At 45.9% G+C, this 14921-nt stretch overlaps 1 annotated feature.

The window, feature by feature from the left end:
- Positions 6949–7454: an enhancer, noted in NCBI's record as "OCT4-NANOG-H3K27ac hESC enhancer chr2:70847073-70847578 (GRCh37/hg19 assembly coordinates)". NCBI's record gives its function as "activates a minimal SCP1, AML or CMV promoter by ChIP-STARR-seq in naive H9 embryonic stem cells {active_cell/tissue: H9 hESC(naive)}" and the evidence as "EXISTENCE:reporter gene assay evidence [ECO:0000049][PMID:30033119]".

Raw genomic sequence — 14921 nt, forward strand, 5'->3', positions numbered from 1 at the left:
TAACACTCAGAGTCCTCCACTTCGATGGCAGCAGACATTGCTACAATCACACTCCTGGACTCTGCCATCACATGCTTCTCCCTGGGAAAACCACGGTCAGCCCTGGGATCTCAGAGCCACTCTTCATAGGGGCAAGGAAACGGATCAGCAAATTTCTAAGGATGGGTTTGGAACTGAGTTGAGTGTGCCTGTCTGTAGTATCTCCCACAGTATCTATGTGGGAGTATCTTATCAATGCAGAATTACTTATGACAGAATAACTGAGTATACTCATATTAGATCAGGATGCTCTGATGTGATCGTCTTGTTAGGGGCCATTGATTGCAAAGGGACCATCCCCTTTGGGAGGAGGTGGGGCTTCCCCCTAAAGGGAGTGGAGTTTCCCATTGTCAATCATCTTGGAAGGAGTTTTACCTGGAATAGTAAATGAGGAATAGGGAGGCAAATCTCAGAGCGAAGAGATTCAAAAACCCTTTCCTCTCTCTGGGTCTTGTCGAGTTGGTTTGAACTTACAGGCTCAAGAGTAGAGCTGGTAGTGGAGAGAAGCTGGCCCCTGTCCCATGGAGGTGTGATCCTGGGCCTGGGCTGCATCTGGTGTCGTCTCCCTGACCCATCACCCCTACCATCTCTGAACCTTCCGCTCCTGGCTTAGCCATTACTGCGAGGAATTAAGGGATGGGCGTGTGCTTGTCCTTGGGAGGAGGTGCTTCAGGCAAGAGCAGCAGGAGTCTTGGGAGATCCCCAGCTTAGTGTTGGTGAAGGCTCGTTGGTGGCTCAGCTGCCAAGAGTGAGACACAGGCCCTTGCTGCCAGCAGCGCCCAGCAGAGGTCTGCGGAACATGAAATCAGTTCTGCTTGAACCTCAGAAATCCTTAGAAGGGCAGAGACAACTAGATACAACACTAGATTCCTGCAGGAAAGCATCATGGGGGTGATAAGGCCATATTAATTCTAGGTATAAATAGAAATATGATCTTGTAGGCTGATGAGGCCTAGGGCATACCAGTTACAGTTTAAAAGGGATAATGAGTTAGAAGGTGCATTTTAAAAGTGGAATATTTAACCATGACAACACATGTTTGCAGCCAAATCCATGAAAAAAAGTTCAAAATCTCAAAGATTAATTTCTGGGAATGTGGAAAGTCAGATATCTTGAAAAATACTCATGGCACATTTATAATAACAATTAAAAATATTAAGACCCTAGGAATAAATCCAATAAAAGTATGTAGCTATCAGTGGAGAAGATGATTAAACTTTACAGAAAGACATTAAAGAAGGCTTAAATACATGGGAACTTAGAGCATATGAGAAAACTCCAAATCACAAAGATACCCTATACCCACCACCTAGGTTTTACTAACATTTTATTCTTCCTGCTTTATCATGTGTCTGTCCATCTACACATCCCTCTCTCTCCATCCATCAATCTGTCTTATTTTTTAAATGTATTGGAAGGTAAGTTGCAGGCATCAGTATGCTTCCTCCTAAATAGTTTTGCATGCACACCATTAGTTAGGGAGGCTTGAGGATCTTTCAGCCACCTGTGTAGCATGGATTCAGGTCCCAAACTGTATGAAGGCCAGCTTTTATTTACAAATTCACAGCGAAGAGAGCCCTTCTTTTTTTTTTTTTTTTTCTTTTCTTTTTCCTCTACCTAGAGCCAAGGCTGAGACATGCATTCTTGCTGCCTTCATTTTTGTGGGATCGACATTTTCTTTTATGCTTTTGTAACTGATGGTATAGCCCTCGGTAGTCACTATTTTATTTGAGTCTCCAATACACCCTTCCACCGTGGGAGCATCCTGTCCTATGTATGGCCATGCAAATGATGTTCCAGTCATGGGGAATTGCCATAAGTCCCTGGGCCTACCACTGACTGTTTCTCACTCACCTCTCTGGATTCCCACCCTGTTTGTTTGGGGCCTTTAGAGACGTTCCTTAGTGTCTTGAAAGCATGTGTTTGAAAACATTTTTTAGTCAGGCATGTAGTCGTGGTCTGTATTGTGCATTGTGGTATAAAGTAGGTTTGACTGTAAATCCATACCTCCCACCCAGATGGCTACATATGTCCTAGGAACTGTCCCCAAAGTCGTCATTGTCTTCATCAGTTGCCATCTTAAGGTTGGCACCCTCGGGATTGTAACATTGTGACTTAACCAAATTCTAGGAGCTTTTTTCCTTTCCTACTTCTCTTTCCCCTCCTTCCTTCTTCCTTTTGGCTGAACACACATTAGCAGAATAGAATATTCCACCCCTCTGTATAGCACTCCCAGAACCCCCCACTCCAGGAGTAGTTAGGGGACCACCATGTAACAGCACAATATTGCCAAAACTTGCTCTTCCTTTGTGTAAGAGGAAGGTGTCTGGCCATTAAGCTGGTGGCCAAAGACCTTAACTGTCTTGGTCTGTAGAGGCTGCTGTAACAGAGTGCCACCGTCTGGATGGCCTATCAGCAACAGAAATTGGTTCTCACACTCCTGGAAGCTGGAAGTCCCAGATCAAGATGCTGGCAGATTTGGTGTCTGGTGAGGACCTGCTTCCTGGCCCAAAGACGGATGTCTTCTAGCTTTGTCCTCACATGGCAGGAGGAGGCAGAGAGCCCTCTGGAGTCTCTTATAAAGGTACTAATACTGTCAGCCTCCATCCTCAGGACTGAATCACCTCACAAAGACCCCACCTCCCAATATCATTACACTGGGGGTTAGGTTGTCAATATATGAATTTAGGGGAACATAAACATTCAGTTTATTGCACCCACAAATGAGTCCCACTCAATAATTCATACTGTAAACTCCAGTCCAGCCTTTGCTTAGATAGACACAGTGTGTGCCAATGACCTCACATCTCTAGCAAGGCTAGGAGATCCAGAGGCTGGAAGCACCCCAGGAGCCTCTTGCCTAACTGTGTGTTCTGCTGATGGTTCAGGAAATCCATATACAGTACTACCAAAGGTTCCAGAGATCCATAAAGCACTATTTTTACAACGTGAACTTCTTCAACTAAACCCTCTAGTCCTGTATAGCCCAAGTCCGGTGACTCAGTTTGTAAAGGGTTAATTACTTGTGGAGTTCTTCTCTGCCTTGGAAAGTAAAGAAAGCAAGGAAAGCAGGTGACAGGAAGCTAACAGCAGCCCCTCTAGCTGTCTTTGCAGGAGAACCTCCTATTGCAGTTAGGTAGCCCTTGCAGGGTATCTGGCTGGAGGTCAGGTTTCCCTTGGAACACCCCCTTGCTCAGCTCACTAAGGGCAGCAGGGTTCCTCCTGGAGAGCTTTTCTGGAGGAGCCACCAGGTGTGAGCCACTTATGGCTAGCCACATCCGGAGTTCAGACAATTCATCTGGTGTGAAACCTCTTCTGGGAATATTCTCCTAACTCAGCAGAGTGGAGTGAGTAACCTGCTCCCAGGTGCCTGTCACAGCTTGACAGGTCAGCCTGACCTCACATCTAGAAGGCAGGTAGTAAAGCTCAGGGAGTGTTGCAACCTTGGTTTATAACCACAGCACGTGTCCAAGGTAGACAGAATGGAAGCGCTGAGCCTGATACTCCACAGGGCTCACTCCTGAGAGCCAGGCCAGCCTCTGGGGATGACAGGGGGTCCCACCCGCTTCGCTGTGATACCGGCCCAGCCTGCCTGGGAGCCACTGCTCCCCAAGCAGGGCAGAGCATAAACAGTGCACCTTGGACACACCAGCATGGAATGCATGGGGGCACTCCTCGCTTCTGGGTGCCCTGTGCGTTTTGTTCTCCTGCATCTTCAAGGAAGAGAGGAACACTCTGGAAATAGAAGACTCAGGGAAGAAGCCCTTTACTCCTCATAGGGCGTGAGTGTTTTTAGCCCACCAAGTCCTGTGGCCCAGAACCTGGGTCCCACCATGACAGAAAGATAAAGTGTATCTTTTCAGAGAGGACCTCAGATGACTGTGGCATGGTGCTTGGCATTTCCTGAGAAATGTTGCATCCAGCCAGCCTAAGTCTGTGCATCAAAGGTTGTGAGCCACCATCTTGAAGATCACAGTTGCTAAAACAGAAATTAAGTGACAGGGAGGTGACAGGTTATAATGTATCAATAAGGACAAACAGGGTAGAAGGAATCAACCTCAGCCTGGAAAAATTCAGACCCTGCAGTTGTTGGCAAAGAAAAAGGCGTCCATGGTCTGGCTGAAAGGCTGACTTGCTGGAACACTCCAGGGAACTGGGCGCAGAGAGTGTCAGAACTGTTCACAACATTCTAAACCCAGTCCCAGTTTGGGCCTAACCTTAAGCAAGGACTGGCTTAGGGAATCTGTTTTCCACATCTTGGAAAAGGGTTTGATGATACCTACTACTTGGATGTGCACTGAAGGATTTAATTAATGTTTGCAAAGCACTTTGAGATGCAGTTGTAGGGCCCACAGCCAAAAACATAGCCAGCTTGTTTAGATTGGCAGTAAAAAAGTTAAGCACTCTTTACTAATTAACACCCTATTAGTATAACAGCAATATCCATGTTGAGTTACTCAAGACCGTGTTTATTTTCACCACTCTGTGTAGTTTGGTTTCTAAGCTAAGGAAGTCTGAACTTACCTGGTGGTGTGAGGTAATCAATTACTGAAACCTCCCTTCAAGCCAAACTCTACCGACAAAGAAATATGCTAAGATGGGTGCATGCCAGGAAATGCCAGTCAAACAGGTGCCTGTTGGGGAAAGACCATAACCAGAAACCCTGGCAAATATTTCCCAAACCAAAGCTCCCTGGACTCCAGAATGCAGTTCCTGGGAGGAGCCTGGCTGGGCATGAGGAGGGTGCCACCTGCTGGCACCAGGGTGTATTTTCTGTGATTTGCAAGCCCACGTGCAAGTGTCTGCAGGAACAGAATTTAAGACAATTGGCCAGGTGCGGTGGCTCACGCCTGTAACCCCAGAACTCTAGGAGGCTGAGGTGGGCGGATCACCTGAGGTCAGGAGTTCGAGACCAGCATGGCCAACATGGTGAAACCCTGTCTCTACTAATCAGTTGGGCGTGGTGGCGCATGCCTGTAATCCCAGCTACTTGGGAGGCTGAGGCAGGAGAATCACTTGAACCTGGGAGGCAGAGGTTGTGGTGAGCCGAGATCGTGCCACTGCACTCCAGCCTGGGAGACAGAGCAAGACTCCACCTCAAAAAAATTATTAGACCCACCTCCATTTCTATAAATGGCAATAAAGTCCAACATAACCATTATGGGAAAGTAAAATACACAAATATAGGCCTGTGCGATGTAGTATACCTGGAAAGTTTAGAAAGGAGCAGAGGTTGCTTTTTGCAGCTAATAATCTTGCAATAACAATGGCAGATTTATAAATTGTACTTCAGTCGGGACCTACGTTTTATCTAATTCTATTTAACATATAAATATCTCTTAATTAAGCTGTGTTCACCAATTGAAAATGTCTACACTGGATTTGGCACAGCAATAAATTATGCTTGCATTAATTTTCATCAATGTCGAATTTGTTGGCTTCAAAACATTTTTTGGTGTGCTACCAGCCCTAAAGAGGTTATGAAGTTGAGAGTAGAACTGTCAACACAGGCATAATCCACTAAGTAAGTAGCTAATGATTGCTAGACAATAGATGAATAGCCAAACATTGAGAGTAGCCAACCTGTACACAAATAAATTAATCTCTGAATCAATTCATTCAGAAGGTGAGGAAGTGAGCCGTGCAGATATCGGAGGGCAAACTGCACAAGTCAGAGGGCACAGCAATGGAAAGGTGCTAAGGAGGGAGTGTTCCTGGCATCCTAAGGAGGAGCAGGGAGCCAGTCCTAGAGTAGAGTGAGTGGGGCCCTTTCAACCTGGACATGTGGAGCAGTCTTGAGTCCAACCAGAAGCTGGGAGTCCGGTCTGGCCCAGCCTACCCCACCCCAAATCACAGCCAATCTATAGACCTAGGAGCATGGAAATAAATTATCAGGGTTGTAAGTCACTGAAATTGTAAGACCATTTGTTATGCAGCATTATTATAGCAATAGCTGACAAACACATTAATCTAATAATCACCCTATTGTACTAGCAGATGAGATCATACAGGTAATGGGGGTGAAGGGCAGATTTATAAGGTCTTGTAGCCAGTAATGGAGGAAGAACACCAGGAGAGTGGTGTTCAGAGATCAAATGAAGAAAGAATGTTAAAGAAGACAGCAGGACCCAAAGTATCAAATGCTACAGATAAGAGAGTGACCATATACTTTACTATACAAAGTATGGCACTTTTAAAGTCGAAAAAGGGCACCCAACTTTGGCAGGACAACAATAAGCTAGGGATGTTCTGGGCGAACTGAGATGTGTGGTCAAGTAAAGTGAGAATTGAGGTTTGAACACAGATTTAGCAACTAAGAAGTCACTGATAATCTCCCCAAGAGCAGTTTTGGTGAACTAGAGGGTTGAGTTTAGTCCAGTTGGATTGAGTTCAAGAAAAAGTGGTAAGAGTGTGAGTACAGGCAACTTTTCTGAGAAACGTTGCTGTAAATGAGAAAAGTAAATGGGGAAATAGCTAAAGGGAGATGTGAAAACAATATTTGGCATTTTTTTAATAGGAGAAGGATATAAATGTTTATTTGCTGATGGGAATGATGCAGCTAACAGGAGAAAGTTTGTGATAAGAGGGAGAGGGAGAAATGCTATGTGAGGCCCTTGAGTATAGGAGAGAGGCTGGGATCTGATGGACAAATGAGGGTGTCGTCCTCTGCTAGGATCAGGATCCACTCATCCAAGGAATAAGATGGAAGGCAAGGAGTAGACACAGAGTGAGAGATGATGGAATGTTTCTTTTAATTTTGTCAGTGAAACTGAAAGCAAATTCGTCAGCTGAGAGGAGGAGAGCTTGCAGGAGGAGAGAGGGAAAAGTTTGAAATCACTGATACAGGAGCCCAAAAGAAATTATTTAGGCAGTTAGTGAGGGTAACAGAGTCCTCAGTAAGGTTTTCCTTTTAATGAAAAGCAGCCCCAAGATCATTTCTTTTTTAACAAAGAGCATCCTGAAAACTCAAGCTGCAGATATAGAAAAGCAAGCTAGAAGCTTGCACGGGCGAATGCCAGCAGCTGCGCCAATAGAAAAGTGATACCTGGAAGCAAGGCATGTTCAACATGGAGGCTCCTTCTTCCCTTTTCTTTGTCAACATGTGTGCAGTAAAGAAGCAGACAACCTGGGGCCGGCCAGACAGAGGATTCATCTGCATAACAAAAGATTAGGATGGGGTGGCCAGCTTCTTCCCAAGCTATGTAAATGGCACACCTGGTCCGACCAATCTTTTGGGCCCTATGTAAATCAGACACTGCCTCCTCAAGCTAGTCTATGATACCCCATGCATTTCACCTCAGAACCTGAAGACGCACTCCAGAGCCCCTCTCTATTTGCAGGAGAAAGAGCTTTTCTCCTTCTTTTGCCTATTAAACCTTCACTCTTAACCTCACTGCTTGTGGTCCATGTCCTTGATTTCCTTGGTGTGAGGCCACGAACCTTGGGTGTTACCCCAGACAAACAATGCCATTTCATTACTACCCAGGACATGGGAGACTGATTACACCAGGGGGACACTGTCAGGCCTCTGAGCCTAAGCTAAGCCATCATATCCCCTGTGACCTGCACGTACACATCCAGATGGCCGGTTCCTGCCTTAACTGATGACATTATCTTGTGAAATTCCTTCTCCTGGCTCATCCTGGCTCAAAAGCTCCCCTACTGAGCACCTTGTGACCCCCACTCCTGCCTGCCAGAGAACCCCCCTTTTTCCTTTACCTACCCAAATCCTATAAAACGGCCCCACCCCTATCTCCCTTCGCTGACTCTCTTTTCAGACTCAGCCCGCCTGCACCCAGGTGAAATAAACAGCTTTATTGCTCACACAAAGCCTGTTTGGTGGTCTCTTTACACAGATGCGCATGAAATTTGGTGCCGTGACTCGGATCGGGGGACCTCCCTTGGAAGATCAATCCTCTGTCCTCCTGTTCTTTGTTCCATGAGAAAGATCCCCCTACAACCTCAGGTCCTCAGACCGACCAGCCCAAGAAACATCTCACCAATTTTAAATCTGGTAAGTGGCCTCTTTTTACTCTCTTCTCCAACCTCCCTCGCTATCCCTCAACCTCTTTCCCCTTTCAATCTTGGCACCACACTTCAATCTCCCCCTTCTCTTAATTTCAATTCCTTTCATTTTCTGGTAGAGACAAAGGAGACACGTTTTATCCGTGGACCCAAAACTCCAGCACCAGTCACGGACTGGGAAGGCAGCCTTCCCTTGGTGTTTAATCATTACAGGGATGCCTCTCTGACTATTCACCCATGTTTCAGAGGTGTCAGACCATGCAGGGACGCCTGCCTTGGTCCTTCACCCTTAGCGGCAAGTCCTGCTTTTCTGGGGGAGGGGCAAGTACCCCAATCCCTTCTCTCCATGTCTCTACCCCTTCTCTGCCTTTCTGAGGGGCAAGAAACCCCCAACCCCTTCTCCTTCACTCTTAGTGGCAAGTCCCGCTTTTCTAGGGGAGGGCCAAGTACCCCAACCTCTTCCTCTCCATGTCTCTACCCCTTCTCTGCCTTTCTGGGGGGCAAGAAACCCCCAACCCCTTCTCCTTCACTCTTAGCAGCAAGTCCTGCTTTTCTAGGGGAGGGCCAAGTACCCCAACCTCATATCTCTGCACCCCGATCCCTTATTTCCATACCCCAACCTCATATCTCTGTGCCCCGAGCCCTTATTTCCACACCCCGACCTCTTATCTCTGTGCCCCAATCCCTTATTTCTGCACTCCGACCTCTTATCTCTGTGCCCCAACCCCTTATTTCCATGCCCCGATCCCTTCTCTGCTTTTCTGGAGGGCAAGAACCCCCCACCCCTTCTCCGTGTCTCTACTCTCTTTTCTCTAGGCTTGCCTCCTTCACTATAGGCACTCTTCCACCTTCCATTCCTCCTTCTTCTCCCTTAGCCTGTATTCTTAAGAACTTAAAACCTCTTCAACTCTCACCTGACCTAAAATCTAAGCATCTTATTTTCTCCTGCAATGCCGCTTGACCCCAATACAAACTCGACAGTAGTTCCAAATAGCCGGAAAATGGCACTTTCAATTTTTCCATCCTACAAGATCTAAATAATTCTTGTCGTAAAATAGGCAAATGGTCTGAGGTGCCTGACGTCCAGGCATTCTTTTACACATCAGTCCCTCTCTAGTCTCTGTTCCCAATGCAAGTTATCCCAAATCTTCCTTTTTTCCCTCCCGCCTGTCCCCTCAGTCCCAACCCCAAGCATCGCTGAGTCTTTCTAATCTTCCTTTTCTACAGACCCATCTGACCTCTCCCCTCCTCGCCAGGCCGAGCTAGGTCCCAATTCTTCCTCAGCCTCTGCTCCTCCACCCTATAATCTTTTTATTGCCACCCCTCCTCACACCTGGTCGGGCTTACAGTTTCATTTCGTGACTAGCCCTCCCCCACCTGCCCAGCAATTTACTCTTAAAAAGGTGGCTGGAGCTAAAGGCATAATCAAGGTTAATGCTCCTTTTTCTTTATCAGACCTCTCCCAAATCAGTGAGCATTTAGGCTCTTTCATCAAACATTAAAAACCCAGCCCAGTTCATGGCTTGTTCAGCAGCAACCCTGAGACGCTTTACAGCCCTAGACCCTAAAAGGTCAAAAGGCCGTCTTATTCTCAATATACATTTTATTAGCCAATCTGCTCCCGACATTAAATAAAACTCCAAAAATTAAATTCTGGCCCTCAAACCCCACAACAGGATTTAATTAACCTCGCCTTCAAGGTGTACAATAATAGAAAAAAGTTGCAATTCCTTGCCTCCACTGTGAGACAAACCCCAGCCACATCTCCAGCACACAAGAACTTCCAAACGCCTGAACCGCAGTGGCCAGTTGTTCCTCCAGAACCTCCTCCCCCAGGAGCTTGCTACAAGTGCTGGAAATCTGGCCACCTGGCCAAGGAATGCCCGCAGCCTGGGATTCCTCCTAAGCCACGTCCCATCTGTGTAGGACCCCACTGAAAATCGGACTGTTCAACTCACCTGGCAGCCACTTCCAGAGCCCCTGGAACTCTGGCCCAAGGCTCTCTGACTGACTCCTTCCCAGATCTTCTCGGCTTAGCAGCTGAAGACTGACACTGCCCGATCGCCTCGGAAGCCCTTTAAACCAGCACGGACACCGAGCTTCAGGTAACTCTCACAGTAGAAAGTAAGTCCGTCCCATTCTTAATCAATATGGAAGCTACCCACTCCACATTACCTTCTTTTCAAGGGCCTGTTTCCCTTGCTTCCATAACTGTTGTGGGTATTGACGGCCAGGCTTCTAAACATCTTAAAACTCCCCAACTCTGGTGCCAACTTAGACAAACTCTTATAAGCACTCCTTCTTAGTTATCCCCACCTGCCCAGTTCCCTTATTAGGCCGAGACACTTTAACTAAATTATCTGCTTCCCTGACTATTCCTAGGCTATAGCCACACCTAATTGCCACCTTTTCCCCCAGTTCAATGTCTCCTTCACATCCTCCCCTTGTATCTCCCCACCTTAAACCACAAGTATAAGACACGTCTACTCCCTCCTTAGTGACTGATCATGCACCCCTTACCATCCCATTAAAACCTAATCACACTTACCCCACTCAATGCCAATATCCCATCCCGCAGCACGCTTTAAAAAGATTAAAGCCTGTTATCACTCACCTGCTACAGCATGGCCTTTTAAAGCCTATAAACTCTCCTTACCATTCCCCCATTTTACCTGTCCTAAAACCAGACAAGTCTTACAGGTTAGTTCAGAATCTGCGCCTTATCAACCAAATTGTTTTGCCTGTCCACCCTGTGGTGCCAAACCCATATACTCTCCTATCCTCAATACCTGCCTCTACAACCCATTATTCTGTTCTAGATCTCAAACCTGCTTTCTTTACTATTCCTTTGCACCCTTCATCCCAGCCTCTCTTTGCTTTCATTTAGACTGGCCCTGACACCCATTAGGCTCAGCAAATTACCTGGGCTGTACTGCCACAAGGCTTCACAGACATCCCCCATTACTTCAGTCAAGCCCAAATTTCTTCCTTATCTGTTACCTGTCTCGGCGTAATTCTTATAAAAACACACGTGCTCTCCCTGCCAATTGTGTCTGACTGATCTCTCAAACCCCAACACCTTCTACATCCTAGGCATGGTAAGATACTTTCTACTTTAGATACCTGGTTTTGCCATCCTAACAAAACCATTATATAAATTCACAAAAAGAAACCTAGCTGACCCCATAGATCCTAAATCCTTTCCCCACTCCTTTTTCCATTCCTTGAAGACAGCTTTAGAGACTGCCCCCATCCGAGCTCTCCCTGACTCATCCCAACCCTTTTCATTACACACAGCCGAAGTGCAGGGCTGTGCAGTCGGAATTCTTACACAAGGACTGGGATCGCGTCCTGTAGCCTTTTTGTCCAAACAACTTGACCTTACTGTTTTAGGTTGGCCATAATGTCTCCGTGCAGTGGCTGCTGCCACCCTAATACTTTCAGAGGCCCTTAAAATCACAAACTATGCTCAACTCACTCTATACAGCTCTCATAATTTCCAAAATCTATTTTCTTCCTCACACCTGACACATATACTTTCTGCTCCCCGGCTCCTTCATCTCTCTGATCCACCTGACGTTCACCCCATTTCCCCACATTTCCTTCTTCCCTGTTTCTCACCCTGATCACACTTAGTTTATTGACGGCAGTTCCACCAGGCTTAATTGCCACACACCAGCAAAGGCAGGCTATGCTATAGTACAAGCCACTAGCCCGCCTCTTAGAACCTCTCATTTCCTTTCCATCGTAGAAATCTATCCTCAAGGAAATAACTTCTCAATGTTCCATCTGCTATTCTACTACTCCTCAGGGATTATTCAGGCCCCCTCCCTTCCCTACACATCAAGCTCAGGGATTTGCCCCCGCCCAGGACTGGCAAATTAGCTTTACTCAACATGCCCCGAGTCAGGAAACTAAGTTACCTCTTAGTCTAAGTAGACACTTTCACTGAATAAGTAAAGACCTTTCCTACAGGGTCTGAGAAGGCCACCGCAGTCATTTCTTCCCTTCTGTCAGACATAATTCCTCAGTTTGGCCTTCCCACCTCTATACCGTCTGAGAGCAGACCGGCCTTTATTAGTCAAATCAGCCAAGCATTTTTTCAGGCTGTTAGTATTCAGTGAAACCTTTATATCCCTTACAGTCCTCAGTCTTCAGGAAAAGTAGAACAGACTAATGGTCTTTTAAAAACACACCTCACCAAGCTCAGCCACCAACTTAAAAAGGACTGGACAATACTTTTACCACTTTCCCTTCTCAGAAGTCAGACCTGTCCTCAGAATGCTACAAAATACAGCCCATTTGAGCTCCTGTATAGACGCTCCTTTTTATTAGGCCCCAGTCTCATTCGACACCAGACCAACTTAGACTGTGCCCCAAAAAACTTGTCATCCCTACTGTCTTCTGTCTAGTCATACTCCTATTCACCGTTCTCAACTATTCATACTTGCCCTGCTCTTGTTTACACTGCCGGTTTACACTGTTTCTCCAAGCCATCACAGCTGATATCTCCTGGTGCTATCCCCAAACCGCCACTCTTAACTCTTGAAGTAAATAAATAATCTTTGCTGGCAGGACTATGCTGAATCTCCTTAGGTATTCTCTAATCAGATGTCCTAGGTCCTCCCAATTCTTAGACCTTTTATACCTGTTTTTCTCCTCTTATTCCATTTAGTTTTTCAATTCATACAAAACTGTATCCAGGCCATCACCAATAATTCTAAATGACAAACGTTTCTTCTAACAGTCCCACAATATCACCCCTTACCATAAAATCTTCCTTCAGCTTAATCTCTCCCACTCTAGGTTCCCACGCCGCCCCTAATCCTGCTCGAAGCAGCCCTGAGAAACATCGCCCATTATCTCTCCATACCATCCCCCAAAATTTTCGCCGTCCCAACACTTTACCACTATTTCATTTTATTTTTCTTATTAATATAAGAAGACAGGAATGTCAGGCCTCTGAGCCCAAGCTAAGCCTTCATATCCCCTGTGACCTGCATGTACACATCCAGATGGCCGGTTCCTGCCTTAACTGATGACATTCCACCACAAAAGAAATGAAAATGGCCTGTTCCTGCCTTAACTGGTGACATTATCTTGTGAAATTCCTTCTCCTGGCTCATCCTGGCTCAAAAGCTCCCCTACTGAGCACCTTGTGACCCCCACTCCTGCCTGCCAGAGAACAACCCCTGCTTTTTCCTTTATCTACCCAAATCCTATAAAACGACCCCACCCCTATCTCCCTTCGCTGACTCTCTTTTCGGACTCAGCCCGCCTGCACCCAGGTGATTAAAAGCTTTATTGCTCACACAAAGCCTGTTTGGTGGTCTCTTCACACTGACCCGCATGAAAGACACAGTAAGATTGCCCACCAGCAGTAAAGGGCATGCGGTCAGGAATCGAAAGTGCAATCAGCGGAGGCGACTCCGTTTCTGCTTAAGATGTAGAAAACTGCAAAAGAAAATATGCTACCCCATTCTAAGCTGCTACACAATCACAATTTCTCTGGAAACCATCAGAGAGCTGAGGTTACACAGCAACAAACTACTTGAATTTCAAAGAGAGGTAAGGTTTCCTGAGGAGAGATGGAACTCACTAACTGTAACACTTGTGGCAAAGCTGGGGAGGAAGGAGCTCCAGAAGGGACAAGTGGGTAAGAAGAAATAAGCTAAAGCACTGGCCAGCCACCAAAGGCCAAGTGTGAGCTAGTGTGTCCGTCCAGACTCCCTGGGAGCTGTGACCCAGGGGCCTTTGGGCTCACTCACAAGCTCCTCCCCACCAGTTTCCATGGGCAGGGCGGGAGATCCGAAAGCCCTTCCCTCAGAGGCACAGGCAGGTTAAACAGTTCCCCAGGCCCTGCTCTTGGACAAGAGAAGAAGAAGAGTGACAGGACAGGGCAAAAACATATTTTAAGAGATAGTAGTCAGTAATTTTATAAAGATAATGAAATACATCCAATGACAGATCCAAAAAACTTGGAGAACCAAGAAGGATAAACACCAAAAGATACAGATAAAACAAACCAAAACAGAAAAACACCTGGACACAGCACAGTGTCCCCGGAAAACCACTGTTAAAGAGAGAATCCTGAAGGCAGCTAGTGGGGAGGAAGGGAGGAAAGGGCACATGACATATAAAGGAAAAAAGAATCGCAGTAGAATCTCCTTAGAAACCACACAAGCAGAAGATAGTGGGGCAACACCATTCAAATACAAAGAGCAAAAAAGTTCTCCATCCAGAACTCTCCTTCCAGTGAAAATAGCTTTCAAAAATGAAGGCAAAATAACAACTTTTTCAGAAAAACAACCAAGAGAATTCGTTGCCAATAGACTTATGCTACAAGAAATGTTAGAGGAAATTCTCCAGGCAGGGGGAATATGGCACCAGACAGAAACTTGGAACTGTAAAAAGAAATCAAGAGCGCTAGAAATGCTGAAAATGAAGGTAAATTAATTCTTTTTAATTGCACTAAAAGATAATTTTCTAAAGTGAAGTCATCAAACATTTTGTGAAAGGGCCAGATATTAATAATAAATATTTTAGGCTTGCAGGACATACAGTCTCAGTTGCAGCTACTCAGATCTGCTGCTGTAGTTGGAAAGCAGCCAGGACATGTGTAAACAAATGGGTGTGGCTGTGTGCCAGTAAACTTTATTTATAAAAATGTTTGGCTGACCTGATGGTCATGGTTTGCTGGCCTCTGGCCTAAAGCAAAAACTATACAAATGCATTGTGGGGTTTAAAAACATTTAAAAGTAAAATGTAAGACAAAAATAGCACCAAGGATCAGAGGAACAAATTGGAAGTATACTGTTGTAAGGTTTCTACACCACTGTGAGTGGTATAATATTATT

Source organism: Homo sapiens, chromosome 2 (genome assembly GCF_000001405.40).
Source record: "Homo sapiens chromosome 2, GRCh38.p14 Primary Assembly".
Lineage (NCBI taxonomy): Eukaryota > Metazoa > Chordata > Mammalia > Primates > Hominidae > Homo > Homo sapiens.